Source organism: Homo sapiens, chromosome 9, assembly GCF_000001405.40.
Source record: "Homo sapiens chromosome 9, GRCh38.p14 Primary Assembly".
NCBI lineage: Eukaryota > Metazoa > Chordata > Mammalia > Primates > Hominidae > Homo > Homo sapiens.
Window position 1 is genome coordinate 113219584 of NC_000009.12, and position 13423 is coordinate 113233006.

The 13423-nt window shown below is 41.9% G+C and overlaps 2 protein-coding genes across 4 annotated transcripts in view, besides 3 other annotated features; one reads left to right on the forward strand and one right to left on the reverse strand.

Annotated features, from left to right (window-relative positions):
* Window positions 1-1694, reverse strand: part of FKBP15 (FKBP prolyl isomerase family member 15) — a 60272-nt gene extending 58578 nt beyond the window's left edge. For all 3 annotated transcript variants that reach the window (NM_015258.2, XM_006717019.2, XM_006717018.3), the window contains exon 1: window positions 1608-1694. In NM_015258.2, coding sequence (NP_056073.1) covers window positions 1608-1660 — 53 coding nt within the window. In that variant the 5' untranslated portion in view covers window positions 1661-1694. The remainder of the gene's footprint in view (window positions 1-1607) is intronic.
* Window positions 1493-1622: an enhancer, noted in NCBI's record as "active region_28833". NCBI's record gives its function as "activates an Ori minimal core promoter by ATAC-STARR-seq in GM12878 lymphoblastoid cells {active_cell/tissue: GM12878}" and the evidence as "EXISTENCE:reporter gene assay evidence [ECO:0000049][PMID:35858748]".
* Window positions 1733-1842: an enhancer, noted in NCBI's record as "active region_28834". NCBI's record gives its function as "activates an Ori minimal core promoter by ATAC-STARR-seq in GM12878 lymphoblastoid cells {active_cell/tissue: GM12878}" and the evidence as "EXISTENCE:reporter gene assay evidence [ECO:0000049][PMID:35858748]".
* Window positions 1961-13423, forward strand: part of SLC31A1 (solute carrier family 31 member 1) — a 42949-nt gene continuing 31486 nt past the window's right edge. Inside the window, exon 1 of the mRNA NM_001859.4 lies at window positions 1961-2095. The gene's annotated coding sequence lies outside the window, so the exon portion shown is untranslated. The remainder of the gene's footprint in view (window positions 2096-13423) is intronic.
* Window positions 2683-2872: an enhancer, noted in NCBI's record as "active region_28835". NCBI's record gives its function as "activates an Ori minimal core promoter by ATAC-STARR-seq in GM12878 lymphoblastoid cells {active_cell/tissue: GM12878}" and the evidence as "EXISTENCE:reporter gene assay evidence [ECO:0000049][PMID:35858748]".

Here is a 13423-nt window from a genome sequence, read left to right on the forward strand (position 1 = left end):
TGCCTAGAATTCAAGTGTCTCAGATCCTTGAGAAGCCTGCTCAGGAAAAAAGAATAGTTGAGCCACCAAGAATTTATCTCTGGCCAGGAATCTGGAAAAGAGCACATGGCTGTCATTACCTATCCCATAATTTTCAGTCAGCTTGGACTGATTGTTGCATGAAAATTGGGAGCCCTAACATTACAGACTTCTCCCAAATACTTTCACATAGTGAAGAATGCGAATTTAAAGTGGAATAGGGAAAAAAGGAACAAAAGCACAGCTTAACTGTAAAATAACTGAGAAACGGAAAGAACTCAAAGTGGAACTAAGTGAATGCAGGCCATCTAAAGACGGGGTAGGAAGGGAACAGAGTGGTGAGAGTGAAAAAGACTAAAAGGTAGGTAATATAGAGCTAGTCAGTGTAAATCAAAAATTCCTACTTAAGGACAAAAGAAGGCCAGTGTCATTTTATGGTCATTCATCTATTAACTCATTTGTTTATGTATTGTCTATGACTACTCTCACCCTACAAGGCAGAACTGAGTATTTGTGGTTGCAATAGAAACCACATGGCCCAACAGATCTGGAAGCAACTTAAGGGCAGGCACAGCAGTTTAATCATTTTTGTAACCTCTTAGCATTTAGCAGAATAAGGGGCATATGTGGTGCATTTGTCATTTTTCCAGTACATTCTTCAGCACGCACAAAATTTGTTAAGCATATGTTCAAAGAAAAGCTCTGCAATGATCAGAGCTTGGTAGCTCACAAGTTTGGAGGAAGTCAAGCTGTCCACTGGCACAACACAATGGAAAAGGCTAAACTGACTACTAAAAGAGACAAAACCCTTCCTCTCTTTAAAGATTTCTATTCCAGGCTGGTATATATTAATATAATGCTTGGGGAAACTGGAGAATGACAGAAGTCTGTTACGTTGGTTTTAAGCTTTAAGCTTTACAAAGTGCAATTTCGCAGCTATTATTCATTCAACAGCCACTTCCTGAGCACTCACTATGTGCTAGGTACCATGCTGCATGCTAGACAGAAATGAACACCATAAGCAGTCCCTGTCCGGTGAGGACTCATAATCTAATAGGTGCGGGGTATAAGAATAGAGGCAAACACACCTAGCTGCAGGAATAAGGAAGAGAAAGCAATTCATTCTGCCTGAGGTTGCAGAAGGAAAAGCATCCAAAACGTGACATCCGAGCTGGGCCTTGAAGAATGCTAGAGCTGACCCACCAAGGCCTGGTTCTAAAGTGTCTTCGCCTTCTCCATGGAGAAAAGAAGTCTCACATCAGCCCCAGCTGACTCCTATAAAAATTCTGAGGCAGGAAGTCTCATCAGCAATCATTCCCATTTCACCGGAGAAATTGTGACCCAGAATGCAAAAGGCAAACCCAGGGCTATCTTCCCGCCAAGAGAGATGCCGGGTCCCGAACCTCAGATCGGCAGGGTCAGCACAGTTGCAAGTTCTGCCCAGATTCTGAGAGGTGTAGAGCACCGGAATGTGGCAAGGGTCTCCCCCCGGAAGTTGGGAAAAGGCCTGAGAAGAGATCGACCCCCCTCCAACAATCCGCCGGTATCTCTCAGCCACGCCCTCCAGCGCATACTTCTCAGTCACTCACCCGCCGCTCGGCGAGAGGAAATCGGTGTCGTCCTCGTCCCCCGCACCGAACATTGCGTTGGCTTTCACCGGGTTGCGGGGAGGAAGCTGGGTATTCCCAGAGTCCCAGGGCCTGTCACCGCCGACGTCGTAAAATGCCGCGGCGGCGTGCTGCTTTCCGGCAGGGCGAACTCCAGCACGGTCTCTGGACCGAAAGTAGACTGGGCTCTGGAGAAGGTGGGGCAAAGGCAAATGAGAGGCTCGCGCGGGCACGAGCGCCGAGTGACGTCAGGCCTCTCCAGCCCGCAGCGGGGCGGAGCTTCACAGCCCCTTGCAGGGATTGGTCGGTAATGCTAGGGGGCGGGAGGGGGCGGGAAATCCTCGGCCTCGGTGGCGGTGGTGGACACGTCGAGCCGGGTAGAAGTGGAGGGGCCGTTCGAAGAGTCGTGAGGGGGTGACGGGTTAAGATTCGGAGAGAGAGGTGCTAGTGGCTGGACTTGACCTGGAAAGGTAAGGCTTCTCTCGGCCCCTCTTTCGCACCCCTGTGCATGGGTACCGTCCTTTTCCCAGCGGGACAAGGACCTTCCTCGCCGCTTTCCTCAGCTCCGCGGAAGGAGAAAGAGCTCGGGACTGGAGGGTTAAAGACTGGGGCTTCGGCCCGGCCCCTGCAGTGGCATAGCCAGAGTGACCTTGGGCCGGGGTGCTCGGTGCCTCAGTTTCCCCGTGTATGCAACCGGCCATTTGTCCAGTTCTTCCATGTGCCTGCTGGTCCAGAAGATTTTAGAGCTCAGAGGCCATGGATTTCAATCCCGGCCTCCTCGTAATCTCAGAATTTACAGATAGGGAGACGAAGGAACTAAGCACCCGGGTGACTAGTCCGAGGTCACAAAGAGTAAAGGGCAGACTGAGACTGGATTCCTCGTCCTTTGATTCAGGACATAGTGAGCTAGTGGGTGAACAAGAACCTTATCAGCCCTTAAGCACTGTGTGCCCTTACAGAGTGACTATTGAAAGACTGTAGCATACACCTCGAGGAAAGTCCCCTTTCTAGAGTCCACCTGTATTCTACGCGGATGAGGTGCAGAAGAGCTAAGATATTCTGGCGGTGGGTGATGGAAAGGAGGATACTTTGGAGGCAGACACATCCCCACCCCAACTTTGGCGTGGGTTTCCCTGGGTCTTCCTGCGACAGCCCTAAATCAACATCAATTGTGGCGGACTCCTCTGCCTCCAGTTTCCACCCTATCTGTATCTTACATAAGTATTTCTTTGGTTAACCTGGTATCATTCTCGAAACAATCCTGGGGTAGTCCTGGCTTAGACAAGGTGTGGCTAAGGAGATAGTGTCCCAGCGTAGCGTCCACAGACTCACTGGAGTTCTTGGGCTTCCCCTCACAGTCAGGTTGGTACTACAGGTGTCCCTTACGTGAATGTTTCAATCTGTCAGTATGAAATTGAAATGAAATGATTGGTAGCTCCCTCCCAGAGAACTTTGCACCTCCTGGCAAAGATGTTAAAGCAGCGAAGGCTCACAGTTGGAATGATGCAACTGGAATCTAAGCACTAGAACCGGAACTGGAACTAGAATCTAAGGACTAGCACTAGAACTGTTGCAGTAGCTCTGTTTAGTGTGTGAACTTGGCTACCTCTTGGAGGTGTTGGGGGAGTAACTGGATTAAGTACCATGGCACTTTCTAATCCCTCTCCCCAACACCGGTCACTGTGATTGCAGCACTGAAACATCTAAATGTTTAACAGAAAGAGCTTGCTAGCCCCTGGCTTACATTATCTATGGTATTTTTAACATGGAATGAATACTTAAAGTCACTTGCAAAGCAGTCTCACTGCAGAATCTTTCTAGGTGTTTATGACATGTCCTTCCAGCCTTTTCTTTAAAAAAAAAAAATGGCCAAGGGAATATTTGAACTCTTATCTTGTATTCTTGGGTGGAGCTGATTTTATCCTGGATGTTTAAGTAGCTTTTGTAGGTACTCAGGAATCCTAAAATCAATAGCCTTTTTGGTGATTGGAACATCACGAACATGCATACGCAGATTATCACTGTAGAAACACAGCTGCTGATTCTCATTAGCAGTATGAGGAGGAGGAAGATGATGGTGAGTCTTGCCAGGCTTTGAACTGCAGGACTGGGTGCACCTAAAAAAAAAAAAAAAGAAAGCCACTGTCTTCCTAAATTCGTGTATCTTCAGATTGGTAATACTGGACTAGGAATCAGGAAATCTGAATTCCTGTCCCAGCCCTTATAACTCACTCTGAGTTTGGGCCAGGCTCCCTAAGCACTGTAAAATGAGTGGATTAGACCTGGACTTCTACTGAGTAACTGCTGGGGATACAAAGGTAAGTAAGGCACAACCTTGATCTCAAGTTTAAAGTAAGCATTTTTGTTTATTTGTTTTGCTTAAGTATACAACTTTTAGAATACTCATAAAATATATTGTCAACCCCCAGAAGATTGGCCAGGAAGCAGCAATTTTTTTTCTCCACCCTCCACTCCCCTTACTCCCTCAGGGAAGCAGCAATTTTAATAATTATTTTCAAATTATCAGCAATTTTGCAACAGAGATGACAGTCTTTATATACGAGTATACCCATACTAATCTGTAATGATGCATGCATTTTAAAATTAGTAGTTTAAAGTTATAACCAAGTTATATCAGGCATAATGATAGGAATATGAATTAAATGCAGGTTCTAGGGGATCTATAACATTCCGTTCACTCAGTCACTGAAAGCAGACTTAGGGCCATTAGTTGGTTAACTGAAGAAGTAAGTTAAAGCAGGGAATCATACAGATAATAGTTATATGCATAACATTTTAACGAACACATAAACATTCTTTTGCCATTCTTTTAACATAAGGCCTCAGCCTTTTCTTGGAGTGTAGGACCCTGTTGCCTGTTTTTATAAGTAAAGCTTTATTAGAACACAGCCTTTCTCATTTGTTTATGTATTGTCTATGACTCCTCTTACCCTCCAAGGCAGAATTGAATATTTGTGATTGCAACAGAAACCACATGGCCTGCAACATCTAAAATGTTTACTTTTGGCCCTTTATAGAAAGAGCTTGCTAGCCCCTGGCCTACGTTATCTATGGTATTTTTAACATGGAATGAATACTTAAAGTCACTTGCAAAGCAGTCTCACTGCAGAATCTTTCTAGGTGTTTATGAAATGTCCTTCCAGACTTTTCTGTTGTCTCCCACACCTAACAGCAAGTTTATGTGTTATCTGTATGCTCACTTTTTTTTTTTTTTTTGAGACAGAGTTTCGCTCTTGTTGCCCAGGCTTGAATGCAATGGCACAATCTCGGCTCACCACAACCTCCACCTCCCGGGTTCAAGCGATTCTCCAGCCTCACCCTCCCGAGTAGCTGGGATTACAGGCATGTGCCACCATGCCCGGCTAATTTTGTATTTTTAGTAGAGACGGGGTTTCTCCATGTTGGTCAGGCTGGTCTGGAACTCCCGACCTCAGGTGATCCACCCGCCTTGGCCTCCCAAAGTGCTAGGATTAGAGGCGTGGGCCAACGCACCCGGCCTTGTGTGCTCACTTTTATCTGGTCTTTCGAAAGCATTCAGTGTGGTGTTTTAGAAATAACTACTAGAGAGTCTATGTAGTACAGTAGTTAAGTACTTGAGCTCTGGAGCCAAATTGCTTTGCCACTTATTAGTTGTATAGGCCATAGACAAGTTACTCAGTTTTTGCCTTTGTAAAACAGGCATAATGGTAGTATCCATTTCTAGGTTTCTTGTGAATATTATAGGAGTTAATTCATGTAAAGCATTTAGAACAGTGCCTGGCAGGTAGTAAGTACTCAGTGTTAATTGCTGCTGTCATTTTTCTCTTCTCATTTATACTTCATTGCTTTACATAGTATTTACGTACTTTCAGTAATAAGCACAACTGGCATAAATAGGTTTGTGAATAAACACACTGTCACCATTGATAAGCACACTTCACAGAGGGGGAACCAGAAGTGTTGTTCCCATCACATTGGAGAATAGCCTAATGGTGTGATGTCAGTTAAATTGGATAAGAGAGTTCTGTGGGATAGTTTGCTAAGAGTATAAGGCAACAGTTCACAGAAGAAAGTAATGGATTAAAATTGAAAAGGAATCCAGGACCATATTTGTCAAATACCTTGAAGGTCAAGGTGACAAGTTTGTACTTAGATTGGTAGGAAGTGGAATTTTTTATTCTAAATGGCATGATTGATGTAAAAAAGTTCAAATGGCTTAGGAGTGTATGAAGTAAAAAGTTACATTTCCCTAGCTCCATTCCATGTCAGTAGCCACTTCATTTTCTAATGGCCCCTAGAACATGAGGTTGTTGTGAAGGCATGGTAAACACCACTTGGGGCACTGGTATTAATCTGTTAAAATTTTCAATTCAGCTTTCCTTTGGATTATAATCTCAATTTTGAATTGAGAAAAATAAAGTTTCCATACTAAATGTGAATAAAATGAAATGACTGTTTTGAAAGTAGATACCATACTCATAAGAGTCTTTGATTCCTAAGTCTTTCTCTACCTCTTTTGTCCAACTTGGAAGTCTTGGTAGAGAAGGACTTAGGAATCAGAGACTCATCTCTACTGTTAATTCCTTTTTGCACCTTTCCCACCAGAAGTGCTACAAGAGAGAAAGATGATATAATAATCACTAGAAAAGCAAAGTGTTCGGCCAGGTGTGGTGGCTCCCGCCTGTAATCCCAGCTCAGGCAGATCACCTGAGGTCAGGAGTTCGAGACCAGCCTGGCCAACATGGTGAAACCCCGTGTCTGCTGAAAATACAAAAATTAGTCAGGCATGGTGGCGGGCACCTGTAGTCCCAGCTACTCAGGAGACGGAGGCACGAGAATTGCTTGAGCTCCGGAGAGGCGGAGGTTGCAGTGAGCTGAGGTCACGCCACTGTGCGCCAACCTGGGCGACAGAGTGAGACTCCATCTCAAAAAAAAAAAAAAAGAAATAAAGAAAGCAAAGTGTTTACAGTGACAAGTTGATTTCAACTAGCAGTTGTCAGTTAAGTTAGTAACAGGGCATCACCCAAATAACTGCATTTTAAAGTGGACAGGGCAGGCCTGACTGGGGAAAAGGGAGGGAAGGGGTAGGGGGTTCCTGATGCCTGTACTCCCACATGCAGCTCTTAAATCCATTTTAAAAACTTAAAAGTTTTCTGTAGTTTTGTGACTTAAGTATAACAAGTCATCAAAAGTCTGATACTTAATACATTACAATGAACAGTTTATGCCAAAAGAAATCTTATAGTAGGGCCTGGGAAGGAAATGCTTTTGAAGTTCCATTGCTTTGAGTAATATCATTTTATGATTTAGGTAACATCCCCAAGCAGAGGAGGGGCCCATCCTTAGGAATGCAAAGCCCTGCAGAGAAGGAAAGGGTTGAGAAGGGTCCACCCTACCTCTTTTCCTTTACACAATGGCCCTAGGCTTTTGTATACAACCTGCTTTTGTAGGCTTAGGACATTATGAAATACAGCATGGTAAGATGGAAGCCTGAATCTCAAAAGTAAATATGAGAAATGATTTGGAGGGAACATATAAAGAGAGCAAAATTCTAGCAACAGGTGACATATTTCCCTAGATAGAAGAGTTATTGTAGAACTATGATGAGTGTTTATATAATTTTGAAGCAGTTTACAGCATCTAGAATGTAGTCATTTAATTTATGAAATGAAAGGGAAATGGTGTAACTCATACACCCGCATCCTCTCTCCTACCTTTTCTGATGGCTTTTTATGAGTTCTCACACAACCCCTATGCATAATCTATACCTTAGTACATTTTACATTATTTTTAAATTATTTACATGTGTCCCTCTTTCACCAGAATGGGTTTCTTATGGTTAGAGTTTCATCATGGTACCTTCATTCGATAGGTATGCAATAAATAGTGAAAGAATAGTCTGAGTTCCTTGAAATTGCATAGCAAATGAGACCTAAGAGCCAGATCTAGAATGCAGATGTAGAACCTCTTTCAGTTCCTAGCCCAGTACTTTTACTGCCACACCATACAGCCTCTATCTGAGATATTGAACAATTTTTTTCTTTTTTCTTTTATTTTTTCTTGAAACAGGATCTTGCTTTGTTGCCCAGGCTGGAGTGCAGGAGCACAATCTCAGCTCACTGCAACCTCTGTCTCCCAGGCTCAAGCAATCTTCCCATCTCAGCCTTTCGAGTAGCCGGGACTACAGGCATGCACCACCACGCCCAGCTAATTTTTTGTATTTTTGATAGAGTCGGGGCTTTGCCATGTTGCCCAGGCTGGTCTCAAACTCCTGAGCTTAAGCAGTCTGCCCACCTTGGCCTCTTAGAGTGCTGGGATTACAGGCATGAGCCACCATGTCCAGCCTCATTTGCATTCTTGTACTGCATTTTCATTAAATCATTCAAGTTCCTTTTATCTTGTGTAACATATTTAATTGCATTTTCCTACTGAATAAAAAAAAGGGAACAGTTCAAATGTTTTCTAGTTTCTGTCTTATGCCATATTAATTTCCAATATTACTCATAGGCAAACCAACAACATTATTATCCAAACAGTTTAAATGCTATGTAATATAACTAAAGCAAAGTTTAGACAAGGAGGACCATTGTCTACATTTGATTATAACAATAAAGCAGTTAAAGCAATGCTTTGCCAATGTATATTTGTCTGACTAGCTAGTTTTGTTTAAATCAAACTGTGAAAGGCTGTATACTTCAAGAAACATGAAAGTGAGCCTTATGTGTGACTTAGTTCCTTTCAGAGATTAATTTTGTCATCTAATGAGCAAGCAAGCTATTATATTTCATATTTACTGTACCTTAAAATTGGAAAGTATTTAACATATTTTATTTGACCCTTACAATACTATGAGATTGGCAGCGTAGGTATTTTAATATCTGTTTTGCAAATTTTGCAAATTTTGGTGATTTGCCTAATGTCACATGGCTAGTATATGGCAAATGTGGGTCCAGAGCTCAGAGCCTTTGATGCCTCGTGCTGCATGCTTTCTCCACTCTAAGATACTATCTAGAAAACACTGAAATTGTCACATAAATCATACTAAAGCACAGTTAGCGGACTGGAAGTGCGTCAAGGCTACAAAAGGATCCTGTAAGAGGAGCATGAAAGGGTGCATCATGTGATTACATTATTCCAGGATGTGGCTTACCCAACAACAAAAGGTATCACAGAAATGGAGTAAAGTAGCTGGGAGATCCACTCCCCATTGGACTTAGGCCCTGTTATCATTACATAACTAAAAGACCTTTTCAGTTTGTTTGTTTGACATATCAAATTTGAGTTGTCCTATTAGAACCAGGCAAATAAAAGCTTTTGTAAAGGCCTTTGGAAGAATGTAGTTGTACACTTGATCTTCTTTGTACAGAAGGGTGGGAGTGGGCAAGAGAAATAGGAGCTTCTATGTTATTTGCCACCAGAACAGGATATGTAAAGCTCAGAAACCCATCCTGCTTAGCTGCTTCCCAGCAAGCCATCCGGAGAAATGGGGCTGGAGAAAGCGGTTAGTCTAGTGTTATGGAGCCTTCTATCAGAAGCAGATGTTATGGATTCACCTAACTAAAGAATGTTAGTGTCATCATTTAATAACATAAGCCTCAGTTTCCACATCTGTAAAATAAAGGAGTTGGATTTGATGATACTTTTTTTTTTCTTTTGAGTTGGAGTTTCGCTCTTGTTGCCCAGGCTGAAGTGCAATAGTGTGATCTCGGCTCATTGCAACCTCTGCCTCCTGGGTTCAAGTGATTCTCCTGCCTTAGCCTCCCTAGTATCTGGGATTACAGGCATGTGCCACCACGACCGGCTGATTTTATATTTTTAGTAGAGATGGCGTTTCTCCATGTTGGTCAGGCTGGTCTTGAACTCCTGACCTCAGGTGATCCGCCCGCCATGGCCTCCCAAAGTGCTGGGATTATAGGCGTGATCCACTGCGCCTGACTGATAATTTAATTTTTTAAATAGGAAATATATTCATATGGTTTGTAATTCAAAAAGTACACAAGGATATTCAGTGAAAAGTATTTCATTTACTCCTACCCACTTCTGACCAGCTCTCCTTAGGGACCACGGTCCTATTTTGCCTCCCAGGCTCAACCAACAACTTTGTTGTTTCCCCCCAACTCCCCTGCAGATAGTATAGGTGTATAAAAATAACATGAACATACTCTGTTTCCTTTTTAAGTTTTTTACAAATTATAGCATACAGTATATTCTGCTTTTATTTCATTTCATAATACGTCTTACAGATCATTCTATATCAATATATATGATCGTTCTCATTCTTATTCTGCTAAGTATTCCATTGTATGAAAATATGATAACTCATTTAATCAGTGCCCTATCAATGAACATTTAGGTTGTATTTTTAATATTTTGCTATTACAAACACTCCTGTTATAAGTAACTTTGTACATACACATTTCACATATGTGCCAGTTTATCTGTAGAATGAATATTTAGAAGTGGGATTACTGTGTTAAAGAATGTGGGCAGACTGATGACTGTTCTAGTTTTGATCTTCTATGAGACTTTAACTGAAAATGATTAGTGGAAAAGAAAAAGTATCATTTTCTTGGTAATATCTTAATTTTTATCTCTTACTATTCAGAACTAAGTCTTAAGTAAGAGCCAAGAATAGGTAATCTCTCCAAAATTATGTTGAATTGCAGACTTCACTAAAGTCACCTGCATCATGGTCTTGTAGATTTTTCTATTGCTTTTCAGTATAATACTATTCAAGCTATTTGCAAGGTGAATATTATAAACTCAGAACAAAAGGAGACTGTCTCCCAACTATGTTTACTAGCATTTACCAAGTAGAGGATTCAGAAGATTTGCTCTTTATTACAATTTATGTAGGGAGTGAAGATGGAAAGATGAAACAAAGAGAGCCTAACAAATATCTGCCTCTGTCTGTGTTTTACTGTCTTCCCAAATTTTTGGATGGTTATGAGGTGTGTGATAACTTTACAAAGTGTATGATACCATAACAATTACTAATCTTTTGGGGATTTGTTTGTTTGTTCGTTTGTTTGAGAGACAGAGTCTTGGTCTGTCGCCCAGGCTGGAGTGCGGTGGCGCGATCTCAGCTCACTGCAGCCTCAACCTCCCTGGCTCAGGCTATCCTCCTGCCTCAGCCTACCAAAGTAGTACAAAAGTAGATCCTATGGCCTCAGCCTATAGCTGAGACTACAGGCATGCATCTCCACGCCTGGCTACTTTTCTTGATTTTTTGAGGAGACAAGGCCTCACTATGTTGCCCGGGCTGGTCTTGAACTCCTGGACTCAAGAGATCCTTCCACCTCAGCCTCCCAAAGTTCTGGGATTATAGGCATGAGCCACTGTACCCTGCCTGTTTTGTTTTTAATTAATACATAATAATTGTACATATTTATGGGGTACAGTGTGATATTTTAATACGTATATAAATTGCATAATGATCAAACGATGGTGTTTAGCGTATACATCACCTCAAACATTTATCATTTCTTTATGGTAAGAACATTCAGAATTCTCTCTTCTAGATATTTTGAAATAGCCACAATAACATTGTTTACTATAGTCACTAGTCTTTTGGGGAAGCTAGGGACCATAAAGCAGATCAGAATTGTATCAGCCCCTCATGCTTTCTTGACTATAACCTACTAACTTTTCTTTTCTCCCCATCTCACCTCCCTCATTCTCTTTCTAGGTACAATAAGCCATTTGTGAAATTTTCCCTGTTCAATAGCAAGTTTAAGCCAGAGCCTCCATCCTTTCCATCTCTGAATTCCCTATAGCCTCTGGGGCAGAGGGTACTTCATAATACTTGTTGAGTTGAATTGAGGTAGATGTCAAAGTGATCTGACCTCACTTTGCTCCCCTCTCAAGTGCCATATCCTTCCTTTTCCCTGCTCAGCCTTGACACACCTATCAAGCCATCCCTTTGCATGCTTAATTTGGTTCAGGAAAGGACAAGAGACCAAGTAAATTATCTTGAAGAGGAGTCTGTGTCTGCCTATGTTTAAGTAAATGCGCACACACACCTATCTTTCTGGCTCCTGCTGCCATTCTTTGTGTTGCGCTTAAAAATTGGGGGCCGGGTACGGTGGCTTACACCTGTAATCCGAGCATTTTGGGAGACTGAGGCAGAAGAATCACTTAAGGGCTGGAGTTCAAGACCAGCCTGGGCAACATAGGGAGACCCCTTCTCTACAAAAAGTTTTAAAATTAGCTGAGCATAATGGTATGTACCTATGTTCCCAGCTACTCTGGAGGCTGAGGTGGGAGGATCACTTGAGCCCAGGAGGTGTAGGCCGCAGTGAGCTGTAATCATGCTACTGCACTCCAGCCGGGACAACAGAATATGATCTTGTCTCAAAAAAAAAAAAAATGGGGAAATTATTTATTTAGTTATGCATTAGTGGTAGCTGTGGAGTTAGGCACACCTGGTAGGAACAGCATTGGAATGTATAATTCAAAATACACATGTATCTTTTTATTCACATGAATTCCATTTTATGTGTATGAAATCATCAAGATCAAAGTGAATATTAGATGAATATGAACTCTAGCTTATTGGACATTTAGAAGATAGAGTTTGATTAGTGTTGATTTTTTTTTATTTTAGATTTTAAAAACTTGTCTATGGGCCATACGTTAAGTACTCATAGTATCTCTGTGGAAGAGTTCTGATAAACTCTGGGATAGGCGATAGCCAGGCCCACATGTGGACTATAACTCCTGTAAAGTTACAGATAACAGAATTATATGGTCTAACATGCAGCTCACTTAGGCAGTCCTACCTTTCCAAATGTTTTCTTCAATGCCATATTCCCAGGGAAAATTGCTGCTGGGTAGTTGAAACTAGGTGCCTCACTGGACTTCTTCCTATTATTTGGGCAACTTGTAAAAGCTTACAAACTTTCTAGAAAGTAGCCCTGAAAACAGTTCCTTCGTTATGTTTTTAGCAATACCACAGAATACATGGTTCTATGTTATAGCTTAGAATTGCTACTACTCTTACAAAATTGGAACATAGAAAAGATGGACAAAAACCTAGTATAATGTATCATTATTTCCATTTCAAGATGGCGTTTTGAACTCATCTCTTTTCCTTCCCAAAATCCTAGTGAAATTATCATAGGAATATGAAGAAGCATTATTTATAGTCAGAAAACAGGGAGAAAGAAGCCAGAAACTTTAAAACATTTCAAAGAAAATGTGATACAGATGGGAATCAAATTGAAAAAAATGACTGACCACCTGATTCAACATAGATAAAGGCCATCTCTGTCGGTAAATTTAAATGGGTTAGATTCATTTGCACACCCCTGCAAGCTCCCAAATCAAGAACAGCAGAGATGGCCAGGCACGGTGGCTTACACTGGTAATCTCAGCACTTTGGGAGGCTAAGGCGTGTGGATCACCTGAGGTCAGGAGTTTGAGACCAGCCTGGCCAACATGGTGAAACCCCATCTCTACTAAAAATTAAAAAAAAAAAAAAAAAACTAGTCAGGTGTGGTGGCGGGCACCCATAATCCCAGCCACTTGGTAGGCTGAGGCAGGACAATCACTTGAACCCAGGAGGTGGAGGTTGCAGTGAGCCGAGATCGCACCACTGCACTCCAGCCTGGGTGACGAGAGTGAAACTCTGTCTCAAAAAAAAAAGAACAGCAGACATAAGGAAGAAGTGTTAGCTATGGGGTAGTTGGTGGACAAATCAAGGATTTGAGGAATTGCACTTATACCATATATAGAGAGAACAGTAGATTGAGAAGTAAAAATGAGTATTTATCAAGAACTTCCTGTGTTTAGACACT